Source organism: Homo sapiens, chromosome 21 (assembly GCF_000001405.40).
Source record: "Homo sapiens chromosome 21, GRCh38.p14 Primary Assembly".
In the NCBI taxonomy this organism is placed as follows: domain Eukaryota; kingdom Metazoa; phylum Chordata; class Mammalia; order Primates; family Hominidae; genus Homo; species Homo sapiens.
The window spans coordinates 36,482,874-36,508,817 of record NC_000021.9 but is presented as its reverse complement, the minus strand read 5'-3'; the positions used below and the strand labels follow the sequence as shown (position 1 = coordinate 36,508,817).

Genomic DNA, 25,944 nt, shown 5'->3' with positions numbered 1-25,944 from the left:
CCCACACTGCTTCCCCCAAGGGGAGTGCTAAAAAGACCATTGTCTCTCCAACTTGTGACTGTTTTCAGTGATGTTGCAGACATTCAGCTGGCCCACCCTGGCTAACAGAAACCTCGGTGGTTTCTTCCCAAGAGCAATGGCCTCAGTGCTCCGGTGTCCTTGTAGAGGGTGGCTCTGTGCTTGCTTGCCCTCTGACCACTGTAGAGGATGGCTCTGTGCTTGCTTGCCCTCTGCCCACTACTCCTGGCTCTCCGGGGCCCCCCAACGCATCTGTCAGATAGGCCATGACATAGAAGGACTGCGTGCTCTATGGGTCTTTATAAGCTTAATTCCGGCTTCCTACCCTAATGCTGTTTTCAAATCCCCTTGGTCATCTCTCCCAGCCTTACAGTGCTGTTAATGATGCCCGATAGGATTGTGAAGGATTTCCACCTGTCCTTAAACTTCACCCTCTGCTTCCTTCATCATTTCCATGAAGGCAACTTGAGCTGCCTGGAAAGTAGCTTTTTGACACTTGGCATAATATTCTTCCTTGGTCTCTTTAGGGTGAGTCTAGAACAATCACTCAAACACCTTTTACCCATAACTGTGAGTCAAAACTGTTCCCTAGAACATGAAATGAGTGGCAGAAAGGAAGATCACAGTGGAATAAACAGTGCATTTTGCAGAACACAACTCAGGACAGCACTGAGAATACTCTTCGGCCAAGAGCATTTGTAATATAGTGTAATGTGCTAAGGACTCCAAAGACAATCTCCTTCCCCAGCTCTCCCTGGCTGAGAGCACAGAGTGTGATATGTATGTGTGTGTGCATGTATACACATATATGTGTGTATATTTTTATTTATGTGTATATATGTGGTAATTATATACAACTTTTAAGAAAAGTATTTCTGAGACCAATGGTATCATAGTGAATCAGCACTGTGCAGGGTGGAATTAAACAGGAAATGTGTGTGTCCCGTTTGTAAATGTTAACAGTGCTACTGGTTCCCAAGACACAAGACACTCCCTCTACTTATGAACCAGGGCCAGGCAACCTTTTTCTTTTTTTGAGATGGAGTCTCACTCTGTCACCCAAGCTGGAGTGCAGTGGCACAATCTCAGCTCATTGCAACCTCTGCCTCCTGGTTTCAAGTGATTCTCCCGCCTCAGCCTGCCAAGTAGCTGGGATTACACGTGCGTGCCACCACACCCAACTAATTTTTGTATTTTTAGTAGAGACGGGACTCCACCACATTGGCCAGGCTGGTCTCAAACTTCTGACCTTAGGTGATCCACCCACCTTGGCCTTTCGAAGTGCTGGGATTACAGGTGTGAGCCACCACGTCCGGTCAACCTTTTTTTATTGAAGTAACCAAACCCAATTTCCTTCCCTCTCATTCCATTTTCACATAGTAATTAAACACTCAAGCGGTTGTCTCTGGGCTTTCTCACCTGGTGATGGCCACAATCCCTGGAAGCCTTGGGTCCTCTGCCACATGTTCCTCTGGGTTTTATGGGGTCCCCAAGGCTCATCACTAAAAGATATACACAGCCATGGGTTGAGAGAACACTGGGAGTTGTGTGTTTTTTCCTTGTTGATGTCCCTTGAGCTTAAGGGCAACTACTATTTTGTGCAGCCGCTTGTGTCAGGTTGTGTCTTTGGCTGACTGATATTTGCTGCCATTTCCTGTAGTGCTTTTTTTTTTTTAAGAGGGAGCATCTCATTCTGTTGCCCAGGCTGGAGTGCAGTGGTGTGATCATAGCTCACTGCAGCCTCGAGCTCCTGGGCTCAAGCAGCCCTTCTGCCTCAGCCTCCTGAGTAGCTAGAACTACAGGTACACACCACCATGCTCAGGTAATTTTTTATTTTCATTTTTTTAGAGACAGGGTCTTGCTGTGTTGCCCAGGCTGGTCTCAAACTCCTGGACTCAAGGAATCCTTCTGCCTTGGCCTCCCAAAACACTGGGATTATAGGTGGGAAGCACTGCACCTGGCCTCTTGTAACTCTTGATGCTCTGCAATAGATACCTTGCTCCCTATTAAATTGATACAATTTTGCTTTTTAAAACGTCAGACCACATACAAGAGTGTGAAGTTAAAAATGAAAGTCCTCCCCGACCTTGACCCTTGGCTCCACCCCCCAGAGGTGATCGCTGTGAACGGCTTTTTGTGCAGCCCTCAGAAGGTCTCTCTGCATGACAGAAATGCATTTGTTCTTTCTTTTTTTTTTTTTTTTGAGACAGAGTCTTGGTCTTTCACCCAGGCTGCAGTGAAGTGGCCCGATCTCGGCTCACTGCAACCTCCGCCCCCCCGGTTCAAACGATTCTCCTGCCTCAGCCTCCCAAATAGCTGGGATTACAGACATCCATCACCACACCCAACTAATTTTTGTATTTTTAGTACAGATGGGGCTTTGCCATGCTGGTCAGGCTGGTCTTGAACTTCTGACCTCAGGTGATCCACCTGCCTTGGCCTCCCAAAATGCTGGGATTACAGGCATGAGCCACCGTACCTGACTGCATTTGTTCTTGTTTACACAAATAGGATCATGCTGTACACACTGCACTTCAACTTGCTTCCTTCACTTAACATTGTGTCTTGGAACTCTTTGCATATCAGTAACTGCAGAAGCATTTAATCTTTTAATGGTGCATACTAATCTGTGTGGATGTACCGTAGTTATGTAACTAATCTCTTATAAAGGACATTTACATTTTATCCAGTTTTATTCTCTCAGAAAGAGCCAGAGAGTATTGAATCCTGTATTATTTATGTCTTTGCTTACTTTAGGAGTATAACTGGGGGATGAATTTCTAGCAGAGAAATAGCTGAGTTGAAGAGTATTCACTGTTTACATTTTGATAGATATTACCAAATGGCTATCCAAAAAAGACACTGACAGTATGCTAGTGTAACAGGGCATTTTTCAGAGAAGACAAAAGCCAGCTCACAGTTACCCATAAATGGAAGTCCACAGTGCCTTACGCCTCCCCTCCATCCAAGCCGGCTGGCTTTGGGTGGATCAAACCAGGAAGGGGTTAACAATGGACCTCTCTGTGTGTTTCTCTTCTGAACCTAAATATGTCAGACTTGGGCAATCCTGAGTGGTTTTGCATTTTCTTTTCACTGTAACCACCTGAGATCCTCTTGTCCCAAAGTCAGTGCTAGGCTGATTGTCTACATTGGGCAGGCGAACTGCTGGGAGTGGCAATGGTGGAATCTCTGAGCCTTTGCAGAAATGTTAGGTTCTGGTGAGCTGCTGACTGTGGGTTCAGAGGCTGGGACTCCCCGAGGTGTTCTGTTCTTAGGATTTCTTTTTAGCTCTCCAGTCATCCTGTCCTTTATCATCTAAGTGCTCCTGTTCTTCAGCCCTTTCTTAGCTGTTTGGTCTACTAGAACATTATTCAGGAGTATGATGGCTTCATCGTCCTGGAATTGCCTCCTCCAGCAGCTTGGGGTGGGCTGTCTGCAGTGCTTCAAAAGCTATCTGGGCTGAAGGGCTATTTTTTAAAAAATTCCAATCTATTATGGACCAATACTTTTGTAAAATACTAAAAGAATTGAATTACTGGAAAAATGAAATATGAAACAAAGACATATGAAATACAATCCTGATTTCTTTTTATTAGATTTAGCAGACGTAAACCTGTTTAAATTTGTTATACAAGTTTTGAGATACTTACTGTCCATTTCTGTTCTCATATAGTGGAGATTGGTAAGAATTTGAGCAGCATTGCTCTAAGCACGTCTCTGGAAGCTTCATGGGCTTCCTTTTGGCCCTAAAGCTTGTATTGTTTTGCTGAAAAAGTGATTCTCACCCAGCAGGGAAAATCTTCCAGATTTTCAGTCAGGGAGGGCCTGGGTCAATGCCCAGGGTTAACACTGGGCTTGGCTTCAAGCTCAGGACCCAGTCCTATCAGCCCAAATTTTCTTTTCCACCCAGCTTTTCCTATCTCTGGGAGCAGTGACTCATGGGTACAGGGTACCATGATCTGCTGTCTTCAAATCAGAAGATGTCATACTCTTTCCTTCAAGTTTTACTTCTTATTTCATTGAAGTCAACATCAGCCTTCCTATCAGTGTTACCATCTCTTCTCTATAACCCACTGCAGACTAGTCATGAGTTACACGCAAAATGTGAAATTTGGGGATGTGGATAAAAGGGAAGCAATTGTTTTCTATCAAGCCATTAAAACTTTTCAGTTTCCTTTTTAAATAATTGTACACTTCATGAGATACTTCAGATAGGTCTTAACACAAAGAAAGAATGAGCCACAACCCCCTAAAATATGAGGTGGTTAAAATATCTTTTGTCTTTAAAGGGGGTGAATTATTTCAATTTTAAATCCTTGGAGAAAATTGGCTTTCAGATTGCCTTTCGGAACCTGAAGTAGCAGGTCACAGCGGCATCTAGTGGAAGTTAATGGTATAACAGTTGGCCTAGACTAAGCAGAAAAAGAGAATACAGTAATTTCAAAATATTGTATTTTTTTCTTGTTTTTAACTTTTTTCTGAGACAGGCTTGAGTGCAATGGCACGATCATAACTCTCTTCAGCCTCAAACTTCTAGGCTTAAGTGATCCTTTTACCTCAGCCTCACAAGTAGCTGGGACTACAGGCGTGCACCACCATGCCCAGGTAATTTTTTTATTTTTACATATAGATGGGATTTTGCTATGTTGCCCAAGCTGGTCTTGAACTCCTGGCTTCAAGTGATCCTCCCACTTTGGCCTCCCAAAGTGCTGGTATTACAAGCATGAGCCACCACATCTGGCCTTTTTAACATTTTTGAAGTTAGGGTGTGACATACTAGATAGCATGTCATAATTTAATGAATCTATTTTCTTTATCAGTGATACTACATCTTACAATTGATGGCATCTTAATTTCATCAAAATATAATTTTTCATATAAAACTTTGTAGGATGCCATTCATTCAGTAACTCAGTAATATTTATTGAGCATCTACTTATACCTGGAAGCTAATGACTTACTGTATGTATTGTATTCATTGCATATATTTTAGTTGTGTTATATTCAAAACTGTTTATTGTAATGCATAATGTAGACATTTATACATTAATGCATTGATATTAATCAGACCTAACTCCATTAATTTAAAAATCCATTCTTGGCTGGTGTATTAGTTCATTTTCATGCTGCTGATAAAGACATACCCAAGACTGGGCAATTTACAAAGGAAAGAGATTTCATGGAAAACTCATAGTTCCATGTGGCTGGGGAAGCTTCACAATCATGGTGGAAAGAAAAGAGGAGCAAGTCATGTCTTACATGGATGGCGACAGGCAAAGAGAGAGCTTGTGAGGGAAACTCCCATTTTTAAAACCATCAGATCTCTGTCACGAGAACAACGTGAGAAAGATCTGGCCCCATGATTCAATTACCTCCCACTAGGTCCCTCCCACAACGCATGGGAATTCAAGATGAGATTTGGATGGGGACAGAACCAAACCATATTAGCTGGGCATAGTGGCTCATGCCTGTAATCCTAACACTTTGGGAGGGCAAGGCAGGTGGATCACTTGAGGTCAGGAGCTCAAGACCAGCCTGGCCAATATGGTGAAACCCTGTCTCTACTAAAAATACAAAAATTAGCCCGGAATGGTGGTGCACACCTGTCATCTCAGCTACTTGGGAGGCTGAGGCAGGAGAATCTCTTGAACCTAGGAGGCAGAGGTTGCAGTGAGCCAAGATTGTGCCACTGCACTCCAGCCTGGGCGAAAGAGTGAGACTCTATCTCAAAAAACAAAAAAATCCATTCTTGTCTAAACCCAGTAGTTCTCAAGCTGGCTGCATGTTAGAACTGTCTGTACAGTTTTCTAAACCATCAGTTCTCAGACCACACTTCTCAGAGATCTGAATTAATTGGTCTAGGAGTGGGGCCCATTCATTAAGAATTTTTCAAAGCTTCCCAAGTGTTCTAATGTGTAGCCTGGGTTGAGAACATTTTCCTTCCTTTAGGTCAGATGGATTCAAGATTACATAGATGTTTTAGTAGTTGGGAAATATAAGTGTTTGGTTTTATAGTAGACAACTCGTATCTTTATTACCATTTATGAATGCAAAGAAACCCTATCTATTAAAGCATTAGTGGATAACACTGAAACCATGATATTTAAGGAAATATTGGCTCCTAAAGACATCCGTGTCAAATACTGTACAATTTGCATTTGATTCTTACACACCCAACATTATTTGAAGTGAACACCATAATAAGATCAGGAATGCTGATGAAGTGTAAAACAGTAGCTGTAAAGTTTACAAGATGTCTCAGTAACATGAAGCCTCTCAAGTGATGTCTATGCACTAAAAGAAAGCAATCTAAGATATCAGTTCCTCGGAATATCCTTTTCATGGCTGAAAGTGAACTCTGCTCATTTCAGGACTGACCCCTAAGCATACTACAGAGATGGCATAATGCTCTTGACCCCCTAGCTGGTCCAGTAGTATAATGTGATACCACATCAGACCTCAACAGGCATAAGAATAGTATTTCATGGGAGCCAGCCTGCAGAAGAAAGGACGCTGTTCATTTCTGGACCCTACCTCTTGCTAACTTTGTAATGTTGGACAAGTTATTAAACTCATCAAATCTGTTGTTTCCTGGTATGCACAATTCGGATAATAATTCTAAGGTTCAGCTATTGCGGATGTTGGAGTTAACATAGGTAAAAACATGCTACTCCTCATGATGGTTCCCTGTGACTGCTTTTGGCTCATTGTGGTGTGTTACAGAATATTCAAGAAAGAATAGCACCATTAACCCCTTCCATCCTGCCTCTTCCAACCTCTACAAACTAGTGTGCAGGGTTTGGGCACTGGGTCTATGTTTAAACAATAGCTTAACGCCTTTTGGGTTCCTTGGATTTGATTTAAAAAAAAAAAAAAGGTCTTTTCAAATTCATAAGACTTTCCATCCAGTGTTTCCTTGTGGCCTAGTAACAAGATCCTAAAATACATTCACTTTTATCTCCCTCCTGCCATCAAAAACAACCCCTCTCGAGGGCCAGGGGCTGGCTGGGAGCCTGGGGTGTGTTCAACTAGAGAAAACCATGGGCCCTTTAATTTAGGGCCAGGCTACTGAAAAGAGAGACTAACAGAGCCTCCCAGTCTCCACCCATCACTGGGTTGAACGTGTGAGTTTGGAGACAGGGGGTGGCGTACCTGTCAAAGCAGCAGAATATCTAGAAGAAAAACAGTAGCGAGGAGATCTTCAAGGAGGAAATTTAGGAGCTTTTGGGCTTGTTCCCTAAAGCCCATAAGTTCTAGTTCAGTTTCATAGTCTCAGGCCCAAATGTCCCACTGACTTCAGGGGGACCTTGTCTGTGCTCTTTGAATGTGACCCGCCCTGGGTCAGATGACCGTCTCCATGTCCCAAAGGTCAGATTTAACCTGGTTTCTACAACTCACACTAATGTAACCCAATCATGGTTTCACTTTTCTAAAAAAAAAAAAAAAAAAAAAAAAAAAAAAAAAAAAGTGAGATATTGACTGAAACTCCCATTAATAATGTATTTCAATGCCCTGCAGATGTGGCAATATAAACAGGCAGTTTTCTTTGCTCTTCATGTTGCTGATATAAACTGGGCAGATACATTTCATGCAAATGGGGCTTGATGTGGATGAAATCTTTCAGCCCTCAGATAAGCCATCATCCTTTTCTCTTCTAAGGCAGAGAAGGAAAGATGAGGGTGACATTGAAGGGTTCAGGATGTGGCAGGCCATTAGCCAGGCAGACAGCAACCACATCGCTGAGAAGACCTGCGGCTGAGCCGCACCCCCCGGGTGTTAGCTGGGCTACCTTGGGCCGCTGATTTAAGCTCTCCGAGTTTGCTTTCTCATCATTAAATGCGATCTAATCATACCCCCTGCGTAGAGTTCTGTGCAGATGAAATGAAATGATGTAAATGGAGTGGCTGGCACAGTGATAGCAAGTCTTATTAAAAGATAAGGCGGTGTCTATTTGAAACTCAAAAGTAAACATGAGAAAGAATCGGCAACTTCCTACTGAAAGTGGGTTGACTTTGTAAAAAGAAAAGAAAATATGTAAGAAAGAGGGAGCTAAAGAATGGAATGTATCAGCCGGGCACGGTGACGTGCGCCTATAATCCCAGCACTTTGGGAGGCCGAGGCGGGTGGATCACTTGAGGCAAGGAGTTCAAGATCAGCCTGACCAGCATGGTGAAACCTCATCTCTACTAAAAATACTAAAATTAGCCAGGCATGGTGGCACAAACCTGTGATCCCAGCTACTAGGGAGGTTGAAGCAGGAGAATTGCTTGAACCCAGGAGGTGGAGGTTGCGGTGAACCGAGATTGCACCACTGCACTCCAGCCTGGGCAACAGAACAAGACTCTGTCTAAATTTAAAATAAAATTTTAAAAAAATGAATGGAATGTATCTCTTTCCTGGGAAATTATCCTCCAGACCCTGTGGTTGGTCAGCGGGACGTGTCACTGTCCGAGGCGTCACTGTTATTCGGGCTGCAGTAACAGGTCCGAGGCTGCAAAGTCTGAGGTGGCCTGGTGCCCAGCCTGACCTCAGGCGAGCTCCCGGCTGAGAGGGCGGGTACAGGGAAGCCCAACCCAGCCCTCCCAATGTTTCACTTCCTTGCCCGCTCCCTGATTTCTGCTGGGGCTGGTGTTAGGCTCCTGGATATGGGGCCGTGTGCTAACTTGCCATAAACAGACCAAAAAGGGGGAACTTTGCAGCTAAGCCAAGTCAAACACCACATTGAAAACCTTGCCTGAGTTGCCCCAGGGTGTTTCCAAAAGCAAAGCAAACATTATAAATGAACAACATGCTCTAATTCTTCACCTCGCGGGACTCGCATTGGAAGACAGGTAGACTCTGTGTGCGCGGCTGGGGCAGGCTTCTGGGCCCAGTACTGCTCCCGGGGTTGCTCCGGAGACCCCCCGATTTTCTCCACCAGCCCCCTGATGTTGTGAAAATGTTGCTCGTCATCAGGAGATGACAGCAGCCCTGGGGGCAGCATTGATCATCTAAGGAGCAATAAATCCCTGCTGGCTTTGCCCAGCTGGCTCCATGAGCTAGAATACGTCACTCGATTTGTCTTTGGCTCTGTAGTCCAAGAATCAGTATTTATTGTCTGCGTGTCTAAATCAGTGAATCTCAACATCATGATGCATAAGAGTCACGTGGACTGGAACAGGGGCTGACATAAAACCACAGATTCCTAACCTCCCCTCCTGAAATTCTGATTCGGTAGGTCTGGGTTGGGGCCCTGGTACGGACATTGCAACAAGCCCCCTGCAACAACTTTAGAGACTCTAAACACAGATAAGCCACTCTATTCTAATCTTGATCACTTTCTACTAATAGCCTAAATGCACTCAATCCTCCATTCATAACTCTCTGTAGGAACCCAGCCCATAAAACAAAAAGGCTGTGTGTATGCAGGTTTCAAGTAAAAACTTGGGAGGCTGAGGCAGGAGAATCGCTTGAACCCAGGAGGCAGAGGTTGCAGCGAGCTGAGATCACACCACTGCACTCCAGCCTGGGCGACAGAGTAAGACCGACAAACAAACAAACAAAAACCTTGGAGAAAGCTGAAAGCAATGGCCCCATTCACATCAAAGTGCTGAAGGTCAGTTTCCCGCAGTTGCGGGGTTCATTGCCCCCACAAAACCGATGTGTGCTCTGGGCTTATTTCTTGAGTCCTGTGGTCAATGATATCATCTCTCTACTCCTCCTTCAATGAAATTTCCTAAGATGCAACCCCAGAAAGGTTACCCTTCTGTCATATCGGTGATTGTCATGTGCCCTGAAACTGGCCAAATTAGAAAATAAAGGTGCTTCATCCAGATGGATGGAGTGCAAGAGGACACTCCCATCTGGGTGGCTGAATTACAAAAAGTACCCTTGCTGAGCGAACCACCTAGAAGAAAGGGACAGGTTCCTGGCACCTCAGGCAGGAATCAAGCCTTGGTTGAATTTCAGCCCCCATGAGGGCCCCTCAGCGGCCACCTTCGTGCAGGGCTGATGGTGTCCAGGCAGACGCAGCCAGTGGGGCCCAGACCTGAACTGAGACTGGTTTTCCCGTGTCTGTATTGGAGCTGAAGGCCAGCTGAGAGGTGCCCCCACCTTTCTGTAGGCTGCTGTCTGCCACAGCCAGATCCTATGTTCATTTTTTCCAGGGTGGAGGGGAAGAGAGCTTAGCCATCGGTCCTACCAGTTCCACGTCCCCATCGCCTGCAACAGTGCTCAGTTTATAGAGGCTTATACTCACAACAAGTCTGCTGATATTAAGTGCATGTATCCAATCTGAGACTGGAAATCTCCTATTTTATTCAAACAACCTGCTGCCGTGCAAGTATTTTTCCCACCAGTTGGTCTACTGGTCTTTCACAGCTAAATCCAGACAAGAGATGTAAAATACAAGTTCATATAGATCTTCCAGGACCAGAGAAAAGGCATTATTAGTATTATTATTTTACTTTTTTTCTTCTCTTTCCACTCACAATTGTCCCGGCTCACAAACGCATCTTCCTGTCTGGGCGCAGTGGCTCATGTCTATAATCCCAGCACTTTGGGAGGCCAAGGCAGGTGGACCGCCTGAGGTCAGGAGTTCGACACCAGCCTGGCCAATATGGCAAAACCCCATCTCTACTAAGAATACAAAAATTAGCTGGGCATGGTGGTGGGTGCCTGTAATCCCAGCTACTCATGAGGCTGAGACAGGAGAATCGCTTGAACCCCGGGCGGTGGAGGTTGCAGTGAGCCAAGATTGCACCACTGCACTCCAGCCTGGGCAACAGAGCAAAACTCCATCTCAAAAAAAAAAAAAGCATCTTCCTCTCGCTGACAACAGTGTCACCCTGTGCTGTACCACCAGTGGCCAAGACACATTTCAGTGGCTGAGACTGAGACTGAAGAGCTAAGGAAAGTAGCAAAGGAAATTAAACCACAGCCTCACGGGGCAGTCCCCACAGGTGCCCCCACCCAGCCCCCCGGAATAACACTGAAGCCACCGGCCAAGGACCAGGAGTGCGGCTCCTAACTCATTGCTTTGAGGATGGATCACGCAGGTGTCTCAAGGTGGTTGGGACCTGGGCGGGGGCAGAAGGGGGCAGATGTGATCTGTGGACGGGAAAGGTGTCTTGGCTAAACGGCGATGAAATGAGGACTGATTTCTGGGCTTCGTTCCGGCTTTCCGGGCTTAGGTCAGGCCTTTAAGATGATTTGTGCAAAACCTTTGAAGTTGGATATTTTCTCAGCTCGTTTGGGGCCTGTTGGAGTTTGCTGAAAGATAAGAGTTATTGGAGATATGAAAGATCCATCTGAAAGGAAGGGAAAAGAAAACAGACCCTGAGCCCCTTCCTGTTGGAAAGCAAAGAGAGCCTGTGTGCGTGTGCCTGCCGCCTGCCTCCCTCCCTTCCTCCCTCCCTCCCTCCCTTCCTTCCTCCCTCCCTCCCTCCCTCCCTCCCTCGCTCCCTCCCTCCCTCCCTCCCTTCCTCCCTCCCTCCCTCCCTCCCTTCCTTCCTCCCTCCCTCCCTCCCTCCCTCCCTCCCTCCCTTCCTTCCTCCCTCCCTTCCTCCCTCCCTCCCTCCCTTCCTTCCTCCCTCCCTCCCTTCCTCCCTCCCTTCCTCCCTCCCTCCTTCCCTCCCTTCCTCCCTCCCTTCCTCCCTCCCTCCCTCCCTTCCTCCCTTCCTCCCTCCCTTCCTCCCTTCCTCCCTCCCTTCCTCCCTCCCTCCCTCCCTTCCTCCCTCCCTCCCTCCCTTCCTCCCTCCCTCCCTTCCTCCCTCCCTCCCTTCCTTCCTCCCTCCCTTCCTCCCTCCCTCCCTCCCTTCCTCCCTCCCTCCCTCCCTCCCTCCCTTCCTCCCTCCCTTCCTCCCTCCCTCCCTTCCTCCCTCCCTCCCTCCCTCCCTCCCTTCCTCCCTCCCTCCCTTCCTCCCTCCCTCCCTTCCTTCCTCCCTCCCTTCCTCCCTTCCTCCCTCCCTTCCTCCCTCCCTTCCTCCCTCCCTCCCTCCCTCCCTTCCTTCCTCCCTCCCTTCCTTCCTCCCTGCCTTCCTCCCTCCCTTCCTCCCTCCCTCCCTCCCTCCCTTCCTTCCTCCCTCCCTTCCTCCCTCCCTTCCTCCCCTCCTCCCTTCCTTCCTTCCACCCTTCTTTCCTTCCTTCCTCTGCTTTCTTCTCCATTGGCTGGGCGGGTATCCTGAGTGATTTGCAAGCATTCGCTCTCAGGGGTCCATGTCATCTGATTTAGACTAGGAAGGGGGAGCAGGGGATGCTCTTGTGCCTAAATCTCCTGCCTGGTTCTAAATTTGGAGGGATTCGTCCCTAGAAGAAAGGCTTCTAAATCATTTCAGATAGAGCACAGGCTCTAGAAACCCTGACTTTTTTTTTTTTTTTTTTTTTGAAACAAGGTCTCACTCTGTCTCCCTAGTTGGAGTGTAGTGGTGTGATCATGGCTCACTGCGGCCTCAGCCTCCTGGGCTCAAGAGATCCTTCCACCTCAGCCTCCCAAGTACCTCGGACCACAGGTGTGCATCACCATGCCCAGCTAATTTTTGTATTTTTTTGTAGAGATGGGGTTTCACTATGTTGCCCAGGCTGATCTCAAACTCCTGGACTCCAATGATCCTCCTTCCTCAGCCTCCCAAAGTGCTGGAATTACAGGCATTTTGGGAGCCACTGCACCCGGCAGAAACCCTGATTTTTATAACACAGTATATTAGCATCCTAGGGCAGCTGTAACAAAGTACTTCAAATTCGATGGCTTAAAACAACCGAAATTTACTCCCAGTTCTGGAAGCCAGAATTCTGAAATCAAAGTGCCAAGAGGACCATGCTGTCTCTGAAGCTCTAGAAAAGAAGGCTTCCTTGCCCCTTCCAACTTCCAGTGGGGCCTGGCCATCCCCAGCATTCCCTGCCCTACAGCTGCAATCTCCGCCTCAGTCTTCACATAGCCCTCTTCCCCCTGTGTCTCCTCTGCTCTTATAAGGACACCAGTGGCATTGGTGTAGGGACCACCCTAATCCACTGTGACCTCATCTTAACTCATTACACCTACAGCCCTACTTCCAAATAAGGTCACGTTCTGAGGTTCTGAGTGGACAAGAACTTCGTGGGGTAAGAACACTCTCTAACTCAGTGCATGGGTTGTAAAATCACCCTTGCTTCTTAGCCTGTGGGCCAGGGGCTCTAGCCCCAAGCTCCAGGCTGTCAGGAGGGAAGCTGCAACTGCTCATTGTAAACATCAGCATCTGCATTGATCGAATGTGCATGGCAGCACCTGCTTTTTTGATGAAGTCAGTGTGATTTCCTGAGACTTCAAAACTCAAATGGGTAGCAAAAAATTTCAGATTCCCTTTTCCATAACTGAATATGATTTCTGTCCCAAGCCTTCATCCCACCCCATAATGGAGTTCTTAAACTTGACAATTAAACAAAATTCAGTCAATTCAGGATAAACTTGATCCAATCAGACTTTCTGGTTCCCCTTTATTTATTATTTATTTTTCTGAGATGGAGTTTCACGCTTGTTGCCCAGGCTGGAGTGCAATGGCACGATCTCGGCTCACAGCAACCTCCGCCTCCCGGGTTCAAACAATTCTCCTGCCTCAGCCTCTTGAGTAGCTGGGGTTACAGGTGTCCACCACCATGTCCAGCTAATTTTTGTATTTTTTAGTAGAGAAGGGGTTTCACAATGTTGGTCAGGCTAGTCTCGAACTCCTGACTTCAGGTGATCCACCAGCCTCAGCCTCCCAAAGTGCTGGGATTACAGGCGTGAGGCACCGTGCTGGGCCTCTGGTTCCCCTTTCTGTGTGGGGGGATTTGTTCCTCCACCCAGGGAACTCAGGTAACAGCAGGCATCTGAGGGAAGTTTGGGAACATCCAGGCCTCCTGTGTGGTCCTCGTCTGGATACAGATGTCTACGGGGATGCACAGGAAGACCTGTGGTCCTTGAGCAGAATCATTGTATTCATCTGCCAAGAATGTTGTAACAAAGCTCCACAGACAGGGCGGCTTAAACAACAGGCATTTATTGTCTCACAGTTCTGGAGGCTGGAAGTCCGAGATCAAGGCACCCACAGGGTGGGTTTCTCCTGAGGCCCCCTCCCTGGCTTATAGATGCTGTCTTGTCCCTGTGCCATCCCAGGGTCATCCCCCTGCATGTGCCTGTGAACTCGTCTCCCCTTCCTGGGAGGACACCAGTCAGATTGGGTCAGGGCCCACCCGTACGAACTCATTTTAACTGAATCGCCTCTTTGTACACTCCATCTCCAAGTACAGCCACATTCTAAGGCACTGGGGGCCAGGACTTCAACATATAAATTTGGGAGGGGACACAGTTCAGCCCCTAACAATCATCTTTTCATGCCAAGGCAGTAACAGTTCAGATTCTCTCGAACATGCCAGTGTGCAGGGACCACAGAGCTTCTTTAGTTCTCCTCCTCGTGAGACCCTCTCCCACGGCCAGCCCAGGGGACTTTAATTTGTTAGGAATATCCTCTCAGCCCTGTCTGTTTGAAACAAGCTTCTTTGATTGAAATGGGCCTTATTAGATAAATATTTGTTTGTAGATACCACTCTCGTCAGTCCTGTTTCTCTCTTCCCTGGCATCATATCCTACATGGCGACCAGTGTGCAGGAAATCTCACAGTCCCCCGCTGGGAGAGAAGATGGTCTCCCGGTCTGTGCCAGAGGCTAGTCCGACATCAGCCTCTGCTGCCCAGCAGGTGTCCACCCAGCACGGGTGGGCTCTTTGCGAATCCAGTTGATGTCCCCGCAGAAGATCCTGAGGTCCTGCTCTTGGGGGCTCTCATGTGTGAGCAAGTCCACCATGGTGATCCCCCCAAGATCTAGTGGGATTCCCAACCCATCCTGGCAAAAGTGGGCTCTTGGCATCCACTGGCTCCCAGCCAGGACTTGGTGCCCAGCCACTCTATACCTGCTTTGGGAACACATGAGGATCCTGGGTCCCCTCCACACCATGGAGGAGATGAAGGCTGTGAGGAATCCCAGCGTGTGCTCATCCATCCCACCTTCCTCCAGCCACATGTGTTCCTTCAGTACCCACCCACACTCCCATTCTGAAATGGGGCCTCCTCCAATGATTCCAAGCAGGGGGCAGAAAAAAAGCCCATTTTGCAGAGGCTCCCGCTCCACAATGTTAGCTGTGAGAGAGACTATGACAAGTGTGCGGCCGCTAGGCTTCCCTTCCTCGCCTTCCCTCCTCCTCCTCGTGCCCCAGGACTGGAAGAACTGAGCTTCCCTTGCTCCTTGAAGCTGACACTGGCATGCAGTGTCCTGAGTTTTCTGGATTATAAGAACCTCAAAGATCAGACCTGCAGGCCCAGGTCTTTATATGGTAATCAGAGCTAAAGGAACCTTGAAGATTATCTCTTACCAATGCCTGGCTTACAAGAACCCTGTCTTGCTGAGAACATAAAAACCTATGTTACTAGAACCCACATTAAGAAAGCTTAATGTGTCTTGCCATTTCTCCTCCGTGCCCTGCCTCCCAGGGAAGGCAGAAGAGCAGCCCTCTCTACTCACAGACCCCAGCTCAGGACTCCTGTGGTGACACCCCCAACTGTGGGGTGGACCCAGAGACCAGGACAGGACGAAGGCCCCTCTCACAGCCCCTCACAGCTGCTCTCCAGGAGGCTGCCCTTTTATTTCCTTGAGTCCAGGAGGCTCGACCTCCTCCCCGGGGGCGGGCAGAAAAACAAACCGGTAAACAAAACACGTGCTCAACAGTATCCTCTCAGGGTTGGTTCTGTCCTGCTCATGGTCTTCAATGCCTGCTTTAAAGGCCAAGAGTTTGAGATGCTTCTTTGCGATCTTGTCTGACTCGTCTCTCCCCACAAAGACACAGTGGCTCAGAGCTCCCAGGCAGAGAGGGGGACTCAGAGAGCTTCCTCCTACAGAGAACATCATTCTCTCACAGCTCCAGAGGCTGGAAATCCAAAATCAAGGTGCCTGCAGGGCCACGACCCTCTGAAGGCTCTAGGGGAGGCCCCTTCCTTGCTGGTCCCAGGTCCTGGTGGCTCCAGGTCTCCTTGGCCTTCCCTGGCTTGTAGTCGCATCATCCCCACCTCTGCCTCTGTCGTCACGTGGCTGTCTTCCTTCTTCCATGCCTATCCTTTTTTTGTAAGGACAGCAGCCATTGGAAGCCAGTATAACTTCATCTTTACCTTTTTTTCGTTTTGTTTTGTTTGAGACAGGGTCTTGCTCTGTCACCTAGGCTGCAGTGCAGTGGCACAATCACTGCTCACTGCAACCTCCACCTCCCGGGCTCAAGAGATCCTCCCACCTCAGCCTCCCAAGTAGCTGGGATTACAGGTGCTCGCCACCATGCCCTGCAGCTAATTTTTGCATTTTTTTTTTTTTTTTTTTTTTTTTTTTGGGACGGAGTCTCGCTCTGTCGCCCAGGCCGGACTGCGGACTGCAGTGGCGCAATCTCGGCTCACTGCAAGCTCCGCTTCCCGGGTTCACGCCATTCTCCTGCCTCAGCCTCCCGAGTAGCTGGGACTACAGGCGCCCGCCACCGCGCCCGGCTAATTTTTTGTATTTTTAGTAGAGACGGGGTTTCACCTTGTTAGCCAGGATGGTCTCGATCTCCTGACCTCATGATCCACCCGCCTCGGCCTTCCAAAGTGCTGGGATTACAGGCGTGAGCCACCGCGCCCGGCCCTTGCATTTTTTTTAGAGACAGAGTTTCGCCATGTTGCCCAGGCTGGTCTCGAACTACCAACCTCAAGCAATCCTCCCACCTCAAGCTCCCAAAGTGCTGGGATTACAGGCGTGAGCCACCGCAGTCAGCCACATACTAACTTAATCACACCCATAAAGACTCTATTTCCAAAGAAGGTCATAGTCTGAGGTTCTGGGTGGACGTGAGTTTTGCAGGGACACTATTCAACCCACGTCAAGGACTCCTCACTTAATGCATCATGATACTGTTCTTACTCCAGTGGTGAGACCCCAGCCCAGAGCGGGTGCTTGGGAAGAGAGGCGGCCTGTCCACATGCACCTGTCCTCCCAACATGCACCATATTTACTGGGAAAGCTGTACAGCCTCACACATGACCTTCAGTAGTCCCCGGCCTCCTACAGTCGCCACTCCCGAGGCATGTACTCCAGGCTCCCCACTTTCCTGACACAGCCCCACCCTTCTCCAGATCTTTTATGACCATTTGCTTATTTGCTTATACCCCTCCTTGTTCCAAAAAGGATTTCAGGCAGATGGTTTTTATTACCAGGCTAAATGAACACAGCGAGATCCTGTAGCAAATACAGTCTTCTCAGCAAACATAAATTTCCATGAAGCCAACATGAAAAGACCCAAAAAGTACGCGGAAATTAAAATGATCGTGTCAAGCTTGACATCAGGTCCCTTTCTTATTTTCGTTGACTCGCTGACACGCACTACATTCCTCGCCGTTTCGCTTTTGAAAGCTTTGTGTGTTGCTTCTTGTTTTCTGGTAACCCCTTTATGGAAGAGGCGCCCAGCTGGGAAGGGAGGTTCTTGAGGTTATTAAGAGCTGAACACAGTGAGTCAGTGCCTTGTTTTAGGGCACAAACCTTAGGAAAGAGACTGTGAGTGAAGTTCTTCAGGATATCTGGGGATCCTAGTTCCTGCACCAGAGCTGAGCCCTTTAATCACATTGACCCTAATTAGTTTGCTGGGGTGAGGGTTGAACCGTTGACTCATGTTTTGTACTAAAAACAGGGGAGGAGATGCAGCCCCCCAAGTTAACGTGATGCAAATGAAGGCCTTTCTTCGGCCTTTGGAAAGGTTTGGCTTTGCTGCTGCCAAAAGTCATTTTGAGAAAACAATGTGTGTGTGTCCAGGGGTGTGTGTGTGTGTGTGTGTGTGTGTGTGTGTGTGTGTGTCTGTGCACTTGCATGTGTGTGCCCACACGTGTTGGCATATGTGCACGTTGATGCATATCTGAATATGTTCATGTGTTTGGGAGGAGCAGAAAGCAGAAGCGGTGAGGAGGGTGCAAGCAAACCTGGTTCCACGTGTATCAAACTGAACAGTCAGAGAAAGGCCCAGGTGGGAGGATCTCTTAAGGCCAAGAGTTCGAGACCAGCCTCCGCAGCATAGAGAGACCCCATCTCTACAAAAAATTATAAGTAAAGAAATTTTTTGGCCAGGCATGGTGGCTTACACCTGTAATCCCAGCACTTTGGGAGGCCGAGGCAGGTGGATCCCTTGAGGTCAGGAGTTTGAAAGCAGCCTGGCCAACATGGTTAAACCCCATCTCTACTAGAAATACAAAAATTAGCCTGGAATGGTGGTGCACACCTGTCATCTCAGCTACTTGGGAGGCTGAGGCAGGAGAATCACTTGAACCCAGGAGGTGGAGGTTGCAGTGAGCCAAGATCACGCCACTGCAGTCCAGCCTGGGTGACAGAGTGAGACTCTGTCACAAAAAAAAAAAAAAAAAAAAATTAAAAAAAAATTGAACTAGCAGACATGGTGGTTCGCACCTGTAGTCCCAGCTCTTTGGGAGGCTGAGGCAGGAGGATCTCTTAAGCCCAGGAGCTCAAGGCTGCGGTGACCCACGGTCGAGCCATTGCACTCCAGCTTGGGCAACAGGGCAAGATCCTGCCTCTAAAAATTAAATTAACAAAGTTAAATAGAATAAAATAAAACAGAGCATTCTTCTCCCTTTGGGAGGGGATCTGATGATATCTGAGTGTCTGTGGAGCCTCTGACTTCCTCATCTCTAGACTGCCTGGTCCGTGGCAATCTAGAGAGATGCTTCCAGCGAGGCCGCAGCAAAGTCATCCTGATCCCTCAGCCGTAAGAGATACAGCTGGGCCTGGGAGTGGAGAAGACCTTGCAGAAAATTGTGTTTGAGATTCACACCTGTTCATTCAACGGCTCCTGGTTGAGGGCTCAGTGCTCATCACAGCTGCTTCCTCTCATGGCTTGAGGGAGGGTTGGTGGCTCTGGCTGGCTACTGGGGGAGGAAAGAACTTGGGGCTTGGATGGGAGGCCCAGGTGAGGCCCGGATCTTCTTATGGCCAGCCGTGAGGACTGGACATGATGCCTGGCAGTGATAACAGCTCCCTCGCGGTCATTGGCAAGACTAAATAACAGTCTATGCAGACGTGCTTAGGAAATTATAAGGTCTGAGGCAGGCCAGAGGGTCAGGTTAAGAGGGCAGCAACTAGGTGGCATCCAGGACAGGTTTGGCCTTTGTCCAGAGTGGCAGTGGATGACTCTGCCGTCGTCCCCGGCCCCCCACCAGGCCCTGCCATCAGCTACTCAGCTGCCTCGTCCCGTGAGAGCTGAGCCCCTGCCCAAGCTGGTGAGGCCTTCCCACAGCACACCCTGGAGAAGAGGACACTGCAGGAAGCTGCATGTGTTGTGGCCCAAAATCCTGACTGTCGCTCATCCTCCTGGGGTGGGCATGGATCAAGATTTGCCATTGGTGTCTCAGCATCAGCTGGAACTGAGAAGGGAGGGAGGTACTGTGTTGATTAATATCTGAGAACATTCATTCCAATAAAACTCCTTACTCCTAAACAAGTGGACAGCTGCAAGACCACATTTGATGGGACAGTCCAATTCAGAATGGCTAATATCAGTTTTGGATGTTCTCTCTCTCTCTCTCTCTCTTTCTCTCTCTCTCTCCCGCCCCCCATTCTCTTTCTCTCTCTCTCTCTCTCCATATATATATATATATATATATATATTTTTTTTTTTTTTTCTTTGAGACAGACTCTCACTCACTCTGTTGCCCAGGCTGGAGTGCAGTGGCTTGATCTCGACTTATTGCAACTTCCACCTCTCAGGTTCAAGTGATTCTCCTGCCTCAGCCTCCTGAGTAGCTGGGATCGCAGATGCATGCCACCACACCCAGCTAATTTTTGTATTCACCGTGTTGGCCAGGCTAGTCTTGAACTCCTGACCTCAGGTGATCTGCCCACCTCAGCCTCCCAAAGTGCTGGGATTAGAGGCGTGAGCCACTGTGCGCGGCCTCTTTCTGTATTTTTTATTGTAGTAAAACACACATAACGTAAAATGTGCTATTTCAGCCATTTGAAGTACATAGTTCTGTGACATTAAGTACACGCATATCATGCAGCCATCCACCACCATCCCTCTCCGGAGCTTTCTCCTCCTCCCAGACTGAAAGTCTGTACCCATTAAACTGTAACTCCCCACCCCCCCGCCCTCAGCCCCTGGCACCCGCAATTCTACCTTCTGTCTCTATTAATTTGACTATACTAGGTATCTCATAAAAGTGGAATCACAGGCCGGGCGCGGTGGCTCACACCTGTAATCCCAGCACTTTGGGAGGCCGAGGAGGGTGGATCACGAGATCAAGGGATTGAGATCATCCTGGCCAACATGGTGAAACCCCGTCTCTACTAAAAATACAAAAATTAGCTGGGCATGGCGGCACGTGCCTGTAATCCCAGCTACTCGGGAGGCTGAGGCAGGAGAATCGCTTGAACCCAGGAGGCAGAGGTTGCAGTGAACTGAGATCCCGCCACTGCACTCCAGCCTGGCAACAGAGTGAGACTCTGTCTCAAAAAGAAAGAGAGAGGGAAGGAAGGAAGGAAGGAAGGAAGGAAGGAAGGAAGGAAGGAAGGAAGGAAGGGGAATCACAGTATTTGTCTTTTTGCAATGGGCATATTTCACTTAACATAACATCCTCAAGGTTCAGCCGTGTTGGAGCATGTGTCAGAACTTCCTTTTTCTGGCTGGATGTTGCATTGTGTGGTTACAGCATATTTTGTTTATCCATTCGTCTCTCAGTGCACGCCTGGCCTGCTGCCACCTTTTGACTATTGCAAATAATGCTGCTATGAAGGTGAGTGTGCACACACCTGTTTGAGTCTCTACTTCATGCTTTTGATCTCTTTATATTTTAAGAGACAGTTTTTTGGATGTCACTTCTCATCAGTTCATTCCTGGGAAGCTCAGCTGGGAAGTTACTGGTATCTGTCTCATCCAAAAGGTTAAATCTTCCGGTGTCCTGAGTACACACCAGCAATTAGCAAACGCAGGACCACATTGAAATGCCTGTTGCTGAGATTGTTGTCAGCTAAATGATGGGTGCCGGGTAGATAACAGTGAGGTTGCATTTCACAAATGTGTCATCTGACTTTCAGAAACTTCCCATTTCATACCAACTATGATCTGACAGCACCAAAGAAGCTGCAACATGAACTAAGGTGTACCTAGCTTCAGAGAAGAAAAGTGTAAAAGGAACCTCTTTAATTCATTTCCTCACTGATCCTCGCTATTAAATACATTGCCATCAATTAACTTTTCTATTCTCTATTTGGAAATTTCCTTACTAAAGAAAATTCTATCTGATTCTTTCTAAGTAGACTATGAGGCACTATTAACCTAAGTTATACATGAAGGATTATTTCAAGAAATGGGAGGGAGGAGGGTGGCAGGATGGTGTTGGAAAGCGCTATGGTGTGTGTGGACAACAGTGAGTATGTGCAGAATGAGGACTTCTTCCCCACCCAGCTGCAGGCCCAGCAAGACGCTGTCAACATAGTATGTCATTCAAAACCCACAACAGGCCGGGCGCAGTGGTTCACGCCTGTAATCCCAGCACTTTGAGAGGCCGAGGCAGGCAGACCATGAGGTCAGGAGTTCAAGACCAGCCTGACCAACATGGTAAAACCCCGTCCCTACTAAAAATACAAAAATTAGCCGGGTGTGGTGGCAGGCGCCTGTAGTTCCAGCTACTTGGGAGGCTGAGACAGGAGAATCCCTTGAACCCGAGAGGCAGAGGTTGCAGTGAGCTGAGATTGCGCCATTGCACACCAGCCTAGGTGACAGAGCAAGACTCAGTCTCAAAAAAAAAAAAAAAATTAAACAAAATCCACAGCAACCCTGAGAACAACATGGCCCTCATCACACTGGCTAATGACTGTGAAGTGCTGACCACACTCACTCTAGACACCGGCCGCATCCTGTCCAAGCTACACACCGTCCAACCCAAGGGCAAGATCACCTTCTACACTGGCATCCACATGGCCCATCTGGCTCTGAAGCGCTGACGGGGCAAGAATCACAAGACGCATATCATTGCCTTCGTGGGAAGCCCAAAGGCAATGAGAAGGATCTGGTGAAACTGGCTAAATTCCTCAAGAAGGAGAAAGTAAATGTTGACATGATAAATTTGGGGGAAGAGGAGGTGAACAGAGAAAAGCTGACAGCCTTTGTAAACACGTTGAATGGCAAAGATGGAAGCGGTTCTCATCTGGTGGCAGTGCCTCCTGGGCCCAGCTTGGCTGATGCTCTCATCAGTTCTCCGATTTTGGCTGGGGAAGGGGGTGCCATGCTGGGTCTCGGTGCCAGTGACTTTGAATTTGGAGTAGATCCCAGTGCTGATCCTCAGCTGGCCTTGGCCCTCGGGTTTCTATGGAGGAGCAGCAGCAGCGGCAGGATGAGGAGCCCAGACGAGCAGCTGCAGCCTCTGCTGCTGAGGCCAGGATTGCTACAACTGGGACTGAAGGCTCAGACGAGGTCCTGCTGAAGATGACCATTAGCCAACAAGAGTTTGGCCATACCGGACTTCCTGACCTAAGGAAGAGGGGATTGCTTATGTCATGAAGATGTCCCTGCAGGAGCAGAGTTTGGCCAGGCGGAATCAGTAGACATTGATGCCAGCTCAGCCATGGACACTTGCCAGCCAGCCAAGGAGGAGGATGATTACGACGTGATGCAGGATCCTGAGTTCCTTCAGAGTGTCCTGGAGAACCTCCCAGGTGTGGATCCCAACAATGAAGCCATTTGAAACGCTGTGGGCTCCCTGGCCTGCCAGGCCACCAAGGATGGCAAGAAGGACAAGAAGGAGGAAGACAAGAAGTGAGACTGGAGGGAAAGGGTAGCTGAGCCTGCTCAGGGGACTGCATGGGACGCAGAGAATATAGGGTTAGATGTGTGTTATCTGTAACCATTACAGCCTAAATAAAGCTTGGCAACATAAAAAAAAAAAAAAGGAAATGGAACCTCTCATTTCCCATCAGGTTTATATCTGATCTTTCATTCATATCTGATGGGAAATGAGAGGCTCTCCAAGGTAGGTGGTGCAATTTTTGGACAGTGACTTGGTTTGCCTTTACTGTCTCTTCATTGTCACTTGTCTGAGGATGACAGGGTGTCCCGAGACAGAAAACAGGACAGAGCAGAGGATTGGGAAGGCACCTTGCTTTCGCTCTGTATTTGGAAATGAACTTGACTGCTGCGATCACTAGTGCAACATCTTGCTGTATTGATTAACCTGTACTCAGGTATCGCTGGTGACAGAAGTGATCCGTCTGATCCTAACGAAAATCAGAGCCTTGGCCAGGCACAGTGGCTCACGCCTGTAATATCAACACTTTGGGATGCTGAGGCGGGTGGATCACTTGAGATCAGGAGTTCAAGACCTGCCTGGCCAACATGGTGAAACCCTGTCTCTACTAAAAATACAAAAATTAGCCAGACATGGTGGTGCATGCCTGTAATCCCAGCTACTTGGGAGGCTGAGGCAAGAGAATCGCTTGAACCTGGGAGGCAAAGAGTGCAGTGAGCCAAAAATCACGCCACTGCACTCCAGACTAGGTGACAGACTAAGACGCCATCAAAAAAAAAAGAAAAACAAAATCACAGTCTCACTCCAAGTCATAGAAATAGTGGCAACTGTAAAGAACACATATGGCTGTCAGTGGGTGAAGTCTGTCCCCCAAAATGCATATTGAAGCCCTACCTTCTGGTGCCTGTGAATGTGACCTTATTTGGAAACAGAGACTTTGTGGATGTCATCAAGTTAAGATGAGCCCATTAGAATTGGCCCTTATCAGCCCAGTACAGTGGCTCATGCCTGTAATCCCAGCACTTTGGGAGGCCGAGGCAGGCGGATCACCTGAGATCAGGAGTTTGAGACCAGCCTGACCAACATGGAGAAACCCCGCCTCCACTAAAAATACAAAATTAGCCAGGCATGGCGGTGCATGCCTGTAATCCCAGCACTCGGGAGGCCAAGGCAGGAGAATCACTTGAACCCGGCAGGCGGAGGTTGCGGTGAGCCAAGATCACGCCATTGCACTCCAGCCTGGGCAAGAAAGAATGAAACTCTGTCTCAAAAAAGAAAAAAAAAAGCTTCTTAGAATTGGCCCTCATCTAATCTGACAGGTGTCCTTATAAGAAGAGAACGACGTGTGAGGAGAGACATGCAGGAAGACCACCATGTCATGAAAAAGGCAGAGATTGGAGTGGTCATGCTGGAAGCCAAGGAATGCCAAGGATTGCTGGCCACCACCAGAAGCTGGAGGAGGCCAGGAAGGCATCTACCCAGTCTCAGAGGAGCACAGCCCTGCTAGCGTCTTGGTTTTGGACTCTTGGCCTTCAGAACTGCAAGGCAACAGACAAATGTCTGTTGTCTCAAGCCTCCCAGCATGTGGCACTGTGTTACAGCAGCACCAAAACACCAATGCTCTGGCCAAGTTTCGGGGCTGTTCTCTTGGTGGAAAAGTAACCATCTCTTAAGTCTGAATTTGCAATTCACTGTTCACGTCAGAAAGTACAATCTTAAACCCAAGAACATGGGGCTTTTGAATCCAGAATCTAATGGACATGCATGCGTAAATAGAATCCGAGCCTCATGCTCTTCCTACCTCACTCGTCTTTGGGGCAGTTTTGTGGGATTTTCCTAAGGAAAGGGTCTATTTTTTGAAAACGGCCCCAAGGCCTACGGTTCTAAATCCAGACCGTGTCTGAGCATGGACAGTCTAGGTTCCTGTGTCCCTGCCGCCCAGTGGGGCCATAAGTCCTGCATCCTCCTCAGTGAAGGGCGGAGACTGCCCATCCCTGCAGTGGGTCCGTATCTGGCCCTGTCCCCCTTGGCTCCTTACAGGGCAAGAGAGGCTCAGAAGGTGCTTCTTTCTTTCTTTATTGCAATTGGCCTAGTTCTTGGCTTCTTTTCCTGCCTATATCACCAGCAGGGAGGGAAGGAGACTCCTCCAACAAGAAGGTCCCCACCCCAAATAGTGCCATTGTCAATGCCAGGAATCCAAAAGGTCTCAACCCACAAACCACAACACCCCTCTCCAGGAAGGGGTGACAAAAGCTCTCCTTCGGCAATACCTACGATGGATAAGGCACCACGCCGGGCACTTTGCATCCATCAACTCACACAGCTACATCATTACCAAACCTGGGCTCACCGTTCTTTTAACCAAAGATGGAGGATCCTTTTCCGAGGCTGACCTGCACTCCTAGTTGCCATGGAGAAAGAAGAAACCCTGGTTCCTTCACCGCATGGTTCCTATGAGGCCTCAGCAGCTGCCTTGTGCTTCTCTCTCTGGACCTCACGTGGCCTCTAGGCCTCACTGGACACAGACCCTGTGACCCCAGACAAAGGGTCAGGAACTTTCTGAGGCCCATTCCAGCAATTCCTGCTCAGAGAGACGCATGGTTTGAAACCACATGATGCATTTGTGCAGCCCTCCAGTTGTAACATTTGCCCAAGGGCTGTGAGCTGCGAAGCTAGCACTGGACCGGGCTCGCTCCTCAGGGCCTCCTGAACCCAGCGGCGCAGAGAGAGATGCAGACCCCGAGTCAGAAACAACACCACCTGGCCGTGCAAGGAGCTGATGCTGAGATGCAAGGGCTGCAGTGGGGCCTTGGGGAGAACTTGCAGCTGCCAACTCATTCTGGAGGTGGATACAGGGTAGTAACATGAGGCAGCGTAGTGGTAGGAGCCCACGAAGTGAGGCCAGTGTGCTCGGTTCAAACCCTGCCTCCACCACTTACAGGTGTATGACCTTGGGCGGGTGACTTCACTTCTCACAGTCTATTTTCCCATCCATAAAATGAGGTTAATAGGAGTACCTAAAGCAAAGGCTGTTTCAGGATTAAATTAGTAAATAGACGTAATATGCTTAAAACCACAGCTAGCACACAAAGAATGCTGCCTTTGTGTTCAGGACAATTGTGAT

At 48.4% G+C, this 25,944-nt stretch overlaps 1 protein-coding gene, 1 long non-coding RNA gene and 1 pseudogene across 4 annotated transcripts in view; 2 read left to right on the top strand and 1 right to left on the bottom strand.

Moving 5' to 3' along the window:
* Nucleotides 1-25,944, top strand: part of CLDN14 (claudin 14) — a 115,949-nt gene that overhangs the window by 67,752 nt on the left and 22,253 nt on the right. The gene's annotated exons all lie outside the window — the stretch shown is intronic.
* Nucleotides 10,292-25,944, bottom strand: part of CLDN14-AS1 (CLDN14 antisense RNA 1) — a 68,202-nt gene continuing 52,549 nt past the window's right edge. For both annotated transcript variants that reach the window (NR_183529.1, NR_183530.1), the window contains one exon: nucleotides 10,292-11,268. This is a non-coding gene — a long non-coding RNA (CLDN14 antisense RNA 1). The remainder of the gene's footprint in view (nucleotides 11,269-25,944) is intronic.
* On the top strand, nucleotides 21,386-22,948 carry PSMD4P1 (proteasome 26S subunit, non-ATPase 4 pseudogene 1; annotated as a pseudogene).